At 39.0% G+C, this 13,898-nt stretch overlaps 1 protein-coding gene across 32 annotated transcripts in view, besides 1 other annotated feature; it reads right to left on the bottom strand.

The window, feature by feature from the left end:
- The window catches only part of STAG2 (STAG2 cohesin complex component), a 142,097-nt gene that overhangs the window by 108,314 nt on the left and 19,885 nt on the right, over positions 1 to 13,898 (bottom strand). The gene's annotated exons all lie outside the window — the stretch shown is intronic.
- Positions 7,210 to 7,412: a silencer, noted in NCBI's record as "fragment chrX:123120781-123120983 (GRCh37/hg19 assembly coordinates)". NCBI's record gives its function as "represses an EF-1alpha promoter that drives an FKBP-Casp9 reporter gene in an ReSE screen in K562 erythroleukemia cells {active_cell/tissue: K562}" and the evidence as "EXISTENCE:reporter gene assay evidence [ECO:0000049][PMID:32094911]".

Below are 13,898 nucleotides of genomic sequence, written 5' to 3'. Positions count from 1 at the left end.
TCATGGTGGCAGATCCCTCATGAATGACTTGTTGCCAATCTTTTGGTAATGAGTGAGATTCTGAGTTCTCACTCTGGTGAGACTGGATTAGTTCTCCTGGAAATGGATTCATTCCCAAGAGAGTGGGGCTGTTGCTATAAAGCCAAGCTATCCCTTGGGTTCTCTCTTTGAATGTGTCCACTTCCCCTTTGACCTTATCTACCATGTTTTGACCTAGCAAGTAACCATCACCAGAAGCCAAGTAGATATGGTGCAATGCTTCTCTTATTTTCCAGACTGTAGAACACTGAGCTAAAACCTCTTTTGTTTATAAATTACCCAGCCTCGGGTGTTCTGTTACAGCAAAACACAAATGGACTAAGACAGCATTTACTGCCTGTAATTATACTTCCTAAAGAGGAGCAGTAACTCCCCCATAATGCCTATAGGTGGTTGTTTAATAAATAAATTATGGAAAATTCCACCTATATGAGAGCAGTTCTCTTAAATTCCAATATGCATAAAAATCATATAAAATGTTCGTTTAAATGCATGGTCACAGGTCCGACATCCAAGGACTCATTCAGTAGATCTGTATACAGGTCTCAGGTATTTGTATTATTCATAAATCCCCTAATATAGGTGAATCCATACTCCACTTTAAGAAAAGCTATTCTAAGTCATGGAATCAGCAACCTGTTATATATAGGATTACCCAGTTTTAGAGAAACAGGAGGTATGAGTAGCTAGGGAAGAGAAGCAAACATTCTCCCTGCTTCCTGCCTTGGGCCACTTAATCATCTGAACATTATTCACTCAAATGCCAGGAACCCACAGCTCAATGATGCATTTCCCCAGAATGTCCTTAAGAAGCTTTCCAGAGAATAAGCCACCAGTGGCCACACTACTCTTCTTTCCACAAGAAAAAAAAAATGTACCTTTCCTGAAAGGTATTGCTCAAATTTAAGGTAAGCGAGATTGAAAATCTCCAGGAAGTTCATTCCATATAGATTTCAACTCACCACTGGGATCTTCCCCGATTTTCTTTAAATGGAATTTTTTTAAAAATTGTTTTTTGTGTAGAGTCAAGGTCTCACCAAGTTGCCCAGGCTGGTCTTGAACTCCTGGACTCAGCCTCCTAAAGGGCTGGGATTACAGGTGTGAGTCACTGTGACTGGCTCCTCTGTTCATTTTCTATCTTCTACAGAAACACTAAGCCACCCAGTTTTTAGTCTAAATAACTCAAAAGTTTACCCAACTAGAAAAATGTATCGTTTAAGAAAAATACAAGGTATCATTTTTAGGCACTTATATTTAAATATAATCAATCCCAACAAGATCCTGCAAAAACCAAAGACCTGCTTTTTCTATTAATAAAATTGAACCTACAGTTTCAATCACAATGTTTGTCTCATTATTCCATGGAAAGTACTCATTCCCATCTCTGTTTCTCCAGCCTGTAACCATAACCACCCCCTTTGTACTCAATGCAGAATCATTCTTTAAGGACCAGTTAAAACCATAGGACAGGCACAGTAGCTCACGCCTGTAACCCCAGCACTTTCGGAGGCCAAGGCGGGCAGATCTCTTGAGCTCAGGAATTTCAGACCAGCCTGGGGAACATGGTGAGACCCCGTCTCTACAAAAAAATTCAAAAATTAGCTGGACATGGTGGTGTGTGCCTGTGGTCCCAGCTACTTGGGAGGTTGATGTTGGAGAATTGCTTAAGTCTGGGAGGTAGACGTTTCAGTGAGCCGAGATTGAGCCACTGCACTCCAGCCTGGGAGACAGAGGGAGACCCTGTCTCCAAGAAAAACACAGCATTTGTTCCATGAAACTCTCCCTACTACAGCCCTCAATGAATTGATCTCTTCGAGTGCAGTAAACTTAGACTCAAATGCACAAAGTAAAAAGGCTACGGAAATTTAAAAAAAAAGTAAAATTTAAAAATTTTAAGAGATTTCAATTCAAATATTAAGTATATCTGTAGCAGCACTGTGGTAGGCCTGATGATAAAAATAATACACATTTTAAAATGTAAAAAAGGATTAAAATAAAGAGTTAATAATAAATAAAATTAAGGATTTTAATGCTGAATTCTTCAGAGGTGACATACACCAATGTCTGCAACTTACTTTGGAGTGCATGTTTAAAAACGCAGAGCACAAAAGCTAGATGGATGGTACCTGACAAAACAAATACAGTCATCCCTCAGTATCCATGGGGGATTGGTTCCAGCACACCCCAAGGACACCAAAATCCATAGTTGCTCAAGTCCCTTATATAAAATGGCCCAATATTTGCATCTAACCTACGTACATCCTCCCATATACTTTAAATCACTTCTAGATTACTTGTAATAGCAAATATAATGAAAGTGCTATGAAAATAGTTGTTGTGGCCAGGCGTCGTTGCTCACGCCTCTAATCCCAGCACTGTAATCCCGCTGAGGCGGGTGGATCACCTGAGGTTGGGAGTTCGAGACCAGCCTGACCAACAGGGAAAAACCCCGTCTCTACTAAAAATACAAAATTAGCTGGGCGTGGTGGCGTGCACCTGTAATCCCAGCTACTCGGAAGGCTGAGGCGGGAGAATCGCTTGAACCCGGGAGGCGGAGGTTGCGGTGAGCCGAGATCGCGCCATTGCACTCCAGCCTGGGCAACAAGAGCGAAACTCTGTCTCAAAAAAAAAAAAAAAGAAAATAGTTGTTGGGCCGGGCATGGTGGCTCACGCCTGTAATCCCAGCACTTAGGGAGGCAGAGGCGGGCAGATCACCTGAGGTCAGGAGTTCAAGACCAGCCTTGCCAACATGGTGAAACACCATCTATACTAAAAATACAAAAATTAGCCAGGCATGGTGGCACATGCTTGTAGTCCCAGCTACTTGGGAGGCTGAGGCAGGAGAATCATTTGAACCCGGGAGGCGGAGGTTGCAGTGAGCTGAGATCATGCCATTGCACTCCAACCTGGGCAACAGAGTCAGACTCCGTCTCAAAAAAAAAAAAATTGTTATACCATATTACTTAGTGGAAAATGACAAGAAAAAATCTCTATATGTTCAGTGCAGATTAAAGCAGGTTTTTTCAAATACTGGCTGAATCCACAAATGGGTAACCATGGATATGAAGGGCTGACTGTAGAGCAAAAAGCTAAAAGTCAAATCTAGGTGATAGGTATATGAGTATTCACTATACAATTATGTACATTGGAGTTTTTCATAATAAAATGTTCAGGGAAAATGAATAAAACATACTCTCTCCCCCCAGTGAATTTAAAGTATAGTGAAGGTGTCACACAAGTGATTACTATAGGGTACACTGAAAGCACACTGGCATGAATATGCTTAGGAAGCCTCAGGGCACCAGAAAGTAGCTCTTCTGGGAAAGGAAACCTCAGGTATGGTTTTCAAGTAACCTCAATCTAAATCTGGAAGGACATGTACTGTTATGCTGGCAAGTGGGTACAGGAATATTCTAGGCATTAGAAACAGCCCAAGCAAAGAAATATCTAGGCAAACAGCCTGGTGTCCCCAGGGAACTAAGAGCAGTTAGAGTTATGCGAGATGGAGGTCAGGTGGTTTGGAATGTCGTGATAAACTACTGAACCTCAATCACTACGCCTCCTCTGTAAGACACACTCCTTGAAATCTCTGAGATAATCACTACCTCTTTCTGTTCCTATACTTTATGTAAGTTTCCATCATTACAATAATGACTCTATTCTAGTATTTTTGTTTCATTAGCTACCTTCTGTATTAAGACTGTGGACATTGAGAACAAAAACTGCATCTTAAACACAACTCTGAAAAGACACCATCAAAATATGTACATAGTAAAGTTTGTTCTTTTGAGGCAAGAGAATGGGGTCTGGAGGCAGGTGGAATAAGGCCTATTCACCCTGACTTCCTAGAACTAAATCAAAAGGAAAACCTCAACCCTCCATACCTAAGTAACTCTCCATACTAAAGTACCTCTGTGTGGCAGAGGGAAAACTGAAAGTACCTTTCTTAAGAGTATCACTTTGTATAGTTACAAAGTTTGCATAGGAGCGTAACTTTGTAACTTCACTTCAGCCCCCAATTGCTTGCTTTCCACAATCAATCAGACTGATCACAGGCCACTACTTCATTTGCATGGGGTGTACACCAAGTGGCCAACGGAAAACCTCTAGAGGGTATTTGGACCCCAGAAGATCCTGTAACCAGGGCTCTTGAGCCGCTGGTCCAGCCGCTTCTACTCTGTGGAGTGTACTTTCATTTTCAATAAATATCTGCTTTCCTTGCTTCATTCTTTCCTTGCTTTGATGTGTGTTTTGTCCAATTCTTCGTTCAAAATGCCAAGAACCTGGACAACTTGCAGTCAAGACCCTCTACCAGTAACACTTTTAACATAAAGTATGCCCTAAATCACATCCTCAATGCAACAAAAAAAAATGTTAGGCTAACGTAGTATAAAGAAATAATTGCCAGGGGTGGTGGCTCACGCCTGTAATCCCAGCACTTTGGGAGGCTGAGGTGGGTGGATCACAAGGTCAGGAGTTCAAGACCAGCCTGGCCAAGATGGCGAAACCCTGTTTCCACTAAAAATACAAAAATTACCCAGGCATGGTGGCGGGCGCCTGTAATCCCAGCTACTCGGGAGGCTGAGGCAGAGAACTGCTTGAACACGGGAGGCGGAGGTTGCAGTGAGCCGAGATGGAGCCACTGCACTCCAGCCTGGGCAACAGAGCAAAATTCTGTCTCAAAAAAAAAAAAAAAGAAAGAAAAAAAGAAAATAATTATATAATACCACTTTTCCTGGAAGAAAAAACACTAAGTCACATACATATACATATATGAGTTTTAAATAAAATTTTTGCATTTCTAAAAGCCATGGGGATGATTAGATTTATAAATACAATGTATATGCTGCTTTAAAATATGCTGATATTGTAAAATATAAGGTACTATAATAAAGTGAAAAGAGCAAGTTACAATGCAATACATATAATTCAATTCGTTTATGATTAGGAAATTTCTAGGATACAAAAAACTATCAGCAGTGGTTACTTCTAAAAACTTGGAATGGAAGAAATGAAATCTTTCACTTTATACCCCTTTTGTACTAAATTTTTGCTATGGGCAGGGATCATTATTTTTACACAATTATTAATAAAATTATTCCTTCTTTTGAAGTAGTATGCTCTAAACAGTCAAAAACTCTTTGAAGATGTGAAGACCATGCTACAAAACTCATTAAGTCTACCGGATACTAACTACTTCTGTAAAATACACAACAACTCAAGAAAGGCAAACATTCCAAGGAATTACATACAGTACAGGGAACTCTGAATAGTTTCACTGTGGACATACTCCCTGAAGATTAGTTTAAAACAAAATGGTGGGGGCTGAGGGGAGAAGGTGGTGGGAGAGACAGGCAAGACACACACAGATAGACAGAGACACACAGAGAGAATGAACCTTATCAGTTTAACAATATGCTTAACTGGAATGAAACAACTGAAAAAGCATTCTCTAAGTTTTCAAACCACCAAGACTATAGTACCATTTACCCAGGCAAATTCTTTTTAACAAGCTTCTTTTAAAATCAGAATGTAAATGAGGAATGCAAGAATCAATGGTGCACTGTGTCTTGTAGTAGTACTCACAGATGAATGGAAAAAGAGAAGAAATCAAACTAACACCTCAACCAGTCTTTTTTATGGAAGCAATGAAACAGAAAAGAACACACATACCATAAAGTATATCAACCATAAAATATATGAAGTAATTTGGAAGGCAGAGAGCAGTAAAGTATTTGCTTTGCTGATTGACAAGACAAGCTACACAAAAAGCTATGGGCATAGAAGTTTATAATGGATGATTTCCCTCATAATACTGCAATGGAACATATATCTCGGGCTTAAAAATGCTTCTTTAATGACACCAAGTTGAAGATTCTCAAAAAAAAAAAGTCCATTAAGATTTATTTACATAACATACAAGTCTACTTATTGTGGCCATAATTCTCAAGAAGAAGAAGAAAATAATAAAATAATAGTGAAACTCCATGGTAAAATGCAATGGGTTGAATGATAGTATGCTAAAAGTTTACTAATAAAAAATTAAAAGCCAGTAGTCAAGACTATTAAAATTCCCCCAAAGTATAAGATACAATATACTATAAACCACATCATCTAGGTGGAACCCCTGACTGTTTTAATGCCAATGCTCTTCAGTGCACACTACATGGGAAATATATCATCTTGGTTTTCTCCCTCTTTATTACACAAAATTATCTTTAAAAATAATCAGAACAATCACATAGCATTATAATACCCTGAAAAATCACCTATTTTCATTTTCCTTCCCAGCCTTTGTCCACATGTATATGCCTGTATGACTTTGTAGATTTTTCAAAACTATAACCACAAAATGGATACAATTGTACACAACTTTTCATCTCCATATGCACTTCTAGGCACTTCTGTAATATTCATAATACAAACTTCTAATAGTTTTATGAGATTCCACCAGATGTGATAATCTACTCATTTATTATTAGACATTAAGACTGACCCCAACACTTCATTGTAATAACTAACAACGCTTCCTATGTACAGATTTTATGTTGAATTATCCCTTATTTTCTCATTATTAGACCCAAGTAGATTTACTTTAGGGCTCTTGATTAAAGACAAGATGCATCTCTACAATTTTTTCTATTTGTAAAATGCAGAGATTTGCACCTATTCCTTGAAAAGTTATGAAGAACTTAAAATGATAGATGTCTAGCCTGGGAAACACAGGGAGATATCGTCGCTACAAAAAAATTTAAAGGCCGGGCATGGTGGCTCACGCCTGTAATCTCAGCACTTTGGGAGGCCAAGGCAGGCAGATCACCTGAGATCAGGAGTTTGAGACCAGCCTGGCCAACAAGGCAAAACCCCGTCACTACTAAAAATACAAAATTAGCCGGGCATGGTGGTGCATGCCTGTAGTCCCAGGTACTCAGGAGGGTGAGGCAGGAGAATCGCCTGAACTTGGGAGGCGGAGGTTGCAGTGAACCGACATCACTCCATTGCACTCCAGCCTGGGCGACACCACGGTGGCTCACGCCTGTAATCCCAGCACTTTGGGAGGCTGAGGTGGGTGGATCACGAGGTCAGGAGTTCGAGATCAGCCTGACCAACATGGTGAAACCCGTCTGTACTAAAAACACAAAAATTAGCTGGGCATGGTGGCGCACACCTGTAATCCCAGCTACTCAGGAGGCTAAGGCAGGAGAATCGCTTGAACCCAGGGGGTGGAGGTTGCAGTGAGCTGAGATCGCACCACTGCACTCCAGCCTGGGTGACAGAGCGAGACTCCGTCTAAAAAAAATTAAAAAAAAAATTTTTTTTTAAGTAGCTGGACATGGTGGCGCACACCTCCAGTCCCAGCTACTCAGAAGGCTGAGGTGGGAGGATTGCTTGAGCCCAGAAGTTTGAGAGAAAACTGCGCAGGCCCTGTTTCAAAAAAGATATTCTAAAAAAAAAAAAATGTTCACTAACATTTAAAATCATAAGTTATTCATATCAATCTGTATGAATGCAGATATAAAACCTTTGGTCAAATGCTTTCCAAAACGTTTTTTCATCTTAGTTGTCCCTTTCTATACTGTAATGAAGTACATTTCATCTCTGTAACATTTTCTAAAACAATGGTAACATTATCGAGCACATTCTATGTCAGACACTCAACATAATACACTATGTTTTAGTTCAAGGTAGATGATATTCTGCCCATTTTACAGATTAGTAAACAACAGGGTCACACAGTCAATAAAGGTGTCATAGGTGCTCTTAAATCTACTTGTCTCTAAAGCATAAGTTCTTTCCACCATCCCAAGCTGCCTCAAAATAAATTCAAATGTTTTTGGAAGCTATTCACCATTACAAGAACAAACATGTGACAGAAAACTATTAAGAAACTCAAATACCTTTGTTATCAGACATTTCATCAGGTAGCATACACATCTCCAGAATCAAAGACATGGAAGATTAGAAAGATCACAGGACTGATCTAAGGAAGAGACCTGGGTTGGAATCCTAACTCTGCCATATTAGCTTTATAAAGTTAGTTTATTATATATATTAACATCATATATATTTGTAAATAAATATTTCCCATATATACACACATATATACATATATTATATATCATATATGTATCACATATGTATCATATATATCATATATACATATATGATACATATATGTATATATAGATACATGCATATATACATGATATATATCATATATGTATATATGATATATGACACATATATATGATATATATATATGTGAGGTTAGAGTACTACTCTTCAAGGCTTCTTCCTCCTCTAAAATTCTATGGTTCTAAAAAACACAGAACCAGAACCAGAGAACACAGGATATATGTCCCAGTGTTCATATTACTAATTCTAATTGTGTAACCCTGGGCCAAGTTTCTTAGCTCCTCTGAAAGGCTAATTCCTTCTTTGTAAAGTAGCATGAATACAAGAGGCTGGCTGTGGAGCAGGGAGGATGGCTTAAGCCCAGGAGTTCGAGACCAGCCTAGGCAACATAGCAAGACCTCGTATCTACCGAAAATAAAAAAAAAAAAAATTAGCCTGGTACGGTAGAGCGTGCCTGTAATCCCAGCTACTCAGGAGGCTGAAGGGGGTGGATTACTGGAGCCCAGGAGTTTGAGGTTGCAGTGAGCTATGTGGTCTTGCTACTGTATTCCAGTCTGGGCAACAGAGCAAAATCGTGTCTAAAAATAAAAAATAAAAAATACCATAAGACCTCCCTCCCTAAAGGATCATTATTATGATGAAGACAGAGTGAAAGTGCTATGCAAACTAAAACTATCGTGGAATCATTGCTACTATTACATTTGATTAAAGCACATAATGACCAGCCTGGGGAACAAAGTAAGACGCCATCTCTACAAAAAATAAAAAATATTAGCCAGGCATGGTGGCAGACATCTGTAGTCCCAGCTACTCAGGAGGCTAAGGCAGGAGGATCCCTTGGGCACAGGACGCCAAGGCTACAATGAGCTGTGATCACACCACTGCACTCCAGCCTGGGTGAAAAAGTGAGACCTTGTTTCAAAAAAAAGGAATAAACGGTTGTCTTAACTTGTAAGGACAACTGATCAGAAGAAAACATGCCAATAATGAGTTCAGACATAGTTAAATAGAGCAAAAAAAAAAGTATTTAATGAGCTTCAGACTGTATTTTTTAACCTTGGCTCCAATTTCTTGTATTCTACAGTAATACTGACAAGCCTCTCAGATCTCAAAACTTTTTCCTGCTTCATAGACTGATGTTTAAGAATCTGAGTGGTAGGTTCAGAAATGCAGTTATATTCACAACTAAGACTAAATTTATTTATTTATAAATATTTTAATCAGAAGCTGGGCACGGTGGCTTGTGCCTGTAATCACACCACTTTGGGAGGCCAAGGAGGGCAGACAGATTGCTTGAGCTCAGGAGTTCGAGACCAGCCTGAGCAACATGGTGAAGCCCTGCCTTTACCAAAAATACAAAAAATGAACCAGGTGTGGTGGCGTGTGCCTGTGGGCCCAACTACTCCGTAGGCTGAGGTGGGAGGATCACTTGAGCCCTGGGAGGCAGAAGCTGCAGTGAACTGAGATCACTCCAGCCTCGGTGACAGAGTGAGACCTCACCTCAAAAAAAAATTTAAATTAAATAAAATATTTTGATCAGTATCCAGATAAAGCACTAAATTAAATCATTCAACAAATATTTCTTGAGAGCCTGCTATATATCAGGCACTATTAGAGACACCATGTTTACAACATTGAAGAGAGAAGTTTTTGCCCCCATGGAGCTTAAAGTCTATTGAGGGGGAAGAAAAATGAGAAAATACCAAGTACTGGTAAATGCTAGCATGAAAATAAAACAAGATGATTACGCTGAAAGGGGAACAGGGCTCTCCATTCACTGCATTTAAATGTAATGTAACATGCATGATTATTTTCAGCAAAACTATAAATAATACATTCTATCTTCCTAAATAAGTCAATCTATAAAGGATGTTTGAAAATTATTCTTTTGGCCGGGCATGATGCTTCATGCCTGTAATCCCAGCACTTTGGGAGGCTGAGGCCAGCGAATCACCTGAGGTTGGGAGTTCGGGACCAGCCTGATCAACATAGAGAACCCCGTCTCTACTAAAAACACAAAATTAGCCGGGCATGGTGGCGCATGCCTGTAATCCCAGCTACTCAGGAAGGCTGAGGCAGGCGAATCACTTGAACCTGGGAGGCAGAGGTTGCAGTGAGCCAAGATCGCGCCATTGTACTCCAGCCTGGGCAACAAGAGCGAAACCCCGTCTCAAAAAAAAAAAAAAAAAAAAAGAAAAGAAAAGAAAATTATTCTTTTTCTGACACAGGTTAAAGGAAACAAAATTAACTGCTCTATACAATGTTTTATTTGCCCCTAACTTCTCTTTCTACACCTGGAAAATTTTTCACCACTAAGTTGTTAGTGTCTCTTTAACCACTCTAAAGTTAGCTAGTCCAGAACATTCTCAGATATCATAAAGGATATCTTTTTCCATAGGTTCTGCAATGCCTTGGTACTGACAAATCCCCAAAAGGAGAATACTGCGGACTTCCTACCTGGAAGTAGTTTATGTAGACTACTACCACCTGGCATAAAGATAAATACAATTATATAATTATTTTTCAAAAGAATTATGTCAAACAGCCAATTTTACTTTATCCGTCCGGCTCATGACTATAAATAACTATTACTATCAAGAAGCAGGCTAAGTTACTAATAAAAATCTCATTTCACTATAGGCTTCACTGCTAAAAAGATTACACTACAGTAAGAAAAAAAAATCTGGGCTCTTCCCACTGATTCTCTCATACTCTATTTACAAAACACTTGAACTCAGCTCATCCACGAATTGGCTATCCACTGAATGCAACTTAGCACTACTAGGCTAAACAAGAGGATGGATAGATTACTTCAGGTTTCCTAAGTAGTAAATTGAAATGAACTAGGAGAACCACAAATAAGGTGAACAGACATTACAAAATACACAAACTCAATTTAAAAAAAGTAGATACATCTAAATACTAAAAAAAAAAAAGTGCCAGTAATTTACTAAAAACTACTGTATACTCATAATTTATAAGGCCCTCTCAGGTTAAACTTAAGTTTGTCAGTCACATTCACAATACCTTGCTGAAAAACAAGGGGAAATATTAATTTCAGCTAGTAATCAAAGAAATGCAAATTAAAGAAATCTGAGGAACTGCACGGACTGTTTAACATCTCCGAAGCAGGGAAAATGTGGTTACCACGTATCACAGCACTGATGGCACTGTAAAATCAGTACAACCCTATTAGAAAACAATATAACTTCAGTTACCAAGAGCTTTAAAAATGTTCATGCTGACTGACAGCGTGATTCCAACTGCTGGACACAATTAGATAGGGAAAAAGATAAAGCTACTTATAGAAGTATTGCTACCTAAAAATGAGGATATAGAAACAGACAAATGTACAAGGAAAGTAGTTGGTTTTGGTTCATGATACGGCAAAAAAAAAAAAAAGGGCAAAAAAAAAGGCAAAAAAAAAAAAAAAGACTAAAGTGTACAGCCCTGCCTCACATCATATTCAAAAGTAAATTCCGGCAGGGTGCGGTGGCTCACGCCTATAATCTCAACATTTTGGAAGGCCAAGGTGGGCGGATCACTTGAGGTCAGGAGTTCGAGACCAGCCTGGCCAACATGGTGAAACTCCATCTCTACTAAAAATACAAAAATTGGCCAGGCGTGGTGGCACTGTAATCCCAGCTACTCAGAAGGCCAAAACACAAGAATCGCTTGAACCCAGGAGGTGGAGGTTGCAGTGGTGCGAAAGTTGCAGTGAGCCAAGATCGTGCCACGATCGTGCCACTGCATTCCAGCCTGGGTGACAGAGCAAGACTCCATCTCAAAAAAACAAAAAAAGTAAATTCTGGATGCATTTTCTTTTTTTTAAAGACAGGGTCTCACTCTGCCACCCAAGCTGGAGTTCAGTGGTATGACCACAGCTCACTGCAGCCTCAAACTCCTGGGAGCAAGGGATCCTCCAGCCTCAGCTTCTCGAGTAGCTAGGACTGTGGGTACATGCCACTATGGCTTTTTTTTTTTTTTTTTTAGTAGAGACAGGGTCTTGCTGTTACCCAGTCTCTTCTGGAACTCCTAGCCTCAAGCAATCCACCCACCTTAGCCTCCCAAAGTGCTGGGATTACAGGCGTGAGCCACCTCACCCAGCGGCATTGCATTTTTAAATGTGAAGAAAAGCAGCAGAAGACATTTCCATGTGGTAGGTGGCCAGGGGTAGTGAGGTGCTGCAGGGGATTATATTGGAAGGGGAAAAAGTATTTGATGTTTTATAGTCTCTTTTGGCTTAACATATATATATTATTACAATTATATGAAACATACACACGGCACTCTGTGCTTAACGTTTTTGTAACATTTAACCCACTTAACTGCAACTGCTTATTTAACATCTTTTTTCCCTACTAGACTGTAAATTCCATAAGGGCAAGAACCAGGCCCCTCTTTTTCACTGCTGCATCCCCAGTGCTTAGCACAGTGCCTGCCATATACTAGGTACTCAAATATTTGTGGAGCAATTCCACTTCTGGGTATATACACAAAAGAATCGAATGCAGTGACTTGAACAGATATTTGTACACCAATGTTCCTGTCACCATTATTCATGCTTGAATAATGCCTATAATAGCCAAAAGGTATAAGTAACCCAAGCATCTGTCAACTGATGAGTAGATAAGCAAAATATGGTATATACATACAATGGAATATTATTCACTTTTAAAAAGGAATGAATTCTGATAAACGTTACAACATGTATCACCTGGAATACATGCTAAATGAAATAGCCACAAAGAACAAATTTTGTATCATTCCACTTACATGAAATACTTAGAATAGTCAAATATAAAGAAAGAAGAACAGTGATTACCAGGGGCTGGGAGGTGGGAGGGAGCGAGGGAGGGAGGGAGGAACAGGGCCCTATTGTTTAATGGGTACAGTTTTATTATGAGATAGTAAAAAAATTCTGGGTATGAATGGTGACAATGGTTGCACAACAACGTAAATGTTCTCAATGCCACTGAACTGTATACTTAAAATGGTTACAATGGCAAATTTTATATATATTTTACCAAAATTAAGAAAAAAAACTTCTGGAATGAGAAAAGTAGAATTATGAGTCATTTTTCATATTGATAATAATTTCCCTGTAAAATATTCTCTCAAGAAGCAGAAAAATGAAGTGATTTTTATAAGATACTCATCTCCAGCATTATTTCTACCCAAGTTAGCTTTTACACAAAACTTAAAGAAACTAAAGTAGTTGCCTACACACTTATTTCACATGAAGTACAGAAGGAAAAAAGAAAAAAAAAGTTTTCCTTTTCAAAATAGACTCCAGAAATTCCAATCATATTTTTCAGAGCTATTTTGAAGAGGACATCAAATTGCAGTATTGTATTATCCTAATACTATTTGCATATTTAAGTACAATCAATTCTTTGATCAGCCACACTAATACCAATGTTGCATGTAAAATAATTCCAATACAATTCTATTTGACTTTGTAGAATTCAATAAAGCCAAATATGCCCTCCCTTCCTGTCCCTGACCACTTCCCAGCTTAAACCTATTATTTGTAACCTGGGACCCAGTGTGGGAGAAGAACCCAATTCCCATGAGATGCGACAAAGGAAACAATCTACATAAGGATAATTGTTGATCATATCAGCTTTAAAGATAATTTTAACTTGACATAATTGGAAGAACAGTTTTTATACTGTATACAATTTAAAAGCATCTCCCAGATGGGAGAACATGCCATCTGG

The sequence above is a fragment of the Homo sapiens genome, chromosome X (genome assembly GCF_000001405.40).
Source record: "Homo sapiens chromosome X, GRCh38.p14 Primary Assembly".
Lineage (NCBI taxonomy): Eukaryota > Metazoa > Chordata > Mammalia > Primates > Hominidae > Homo > Homo sapiens.
This window is presented reverse-complemented; position numbering and strand designations above follow the sequence as displayed.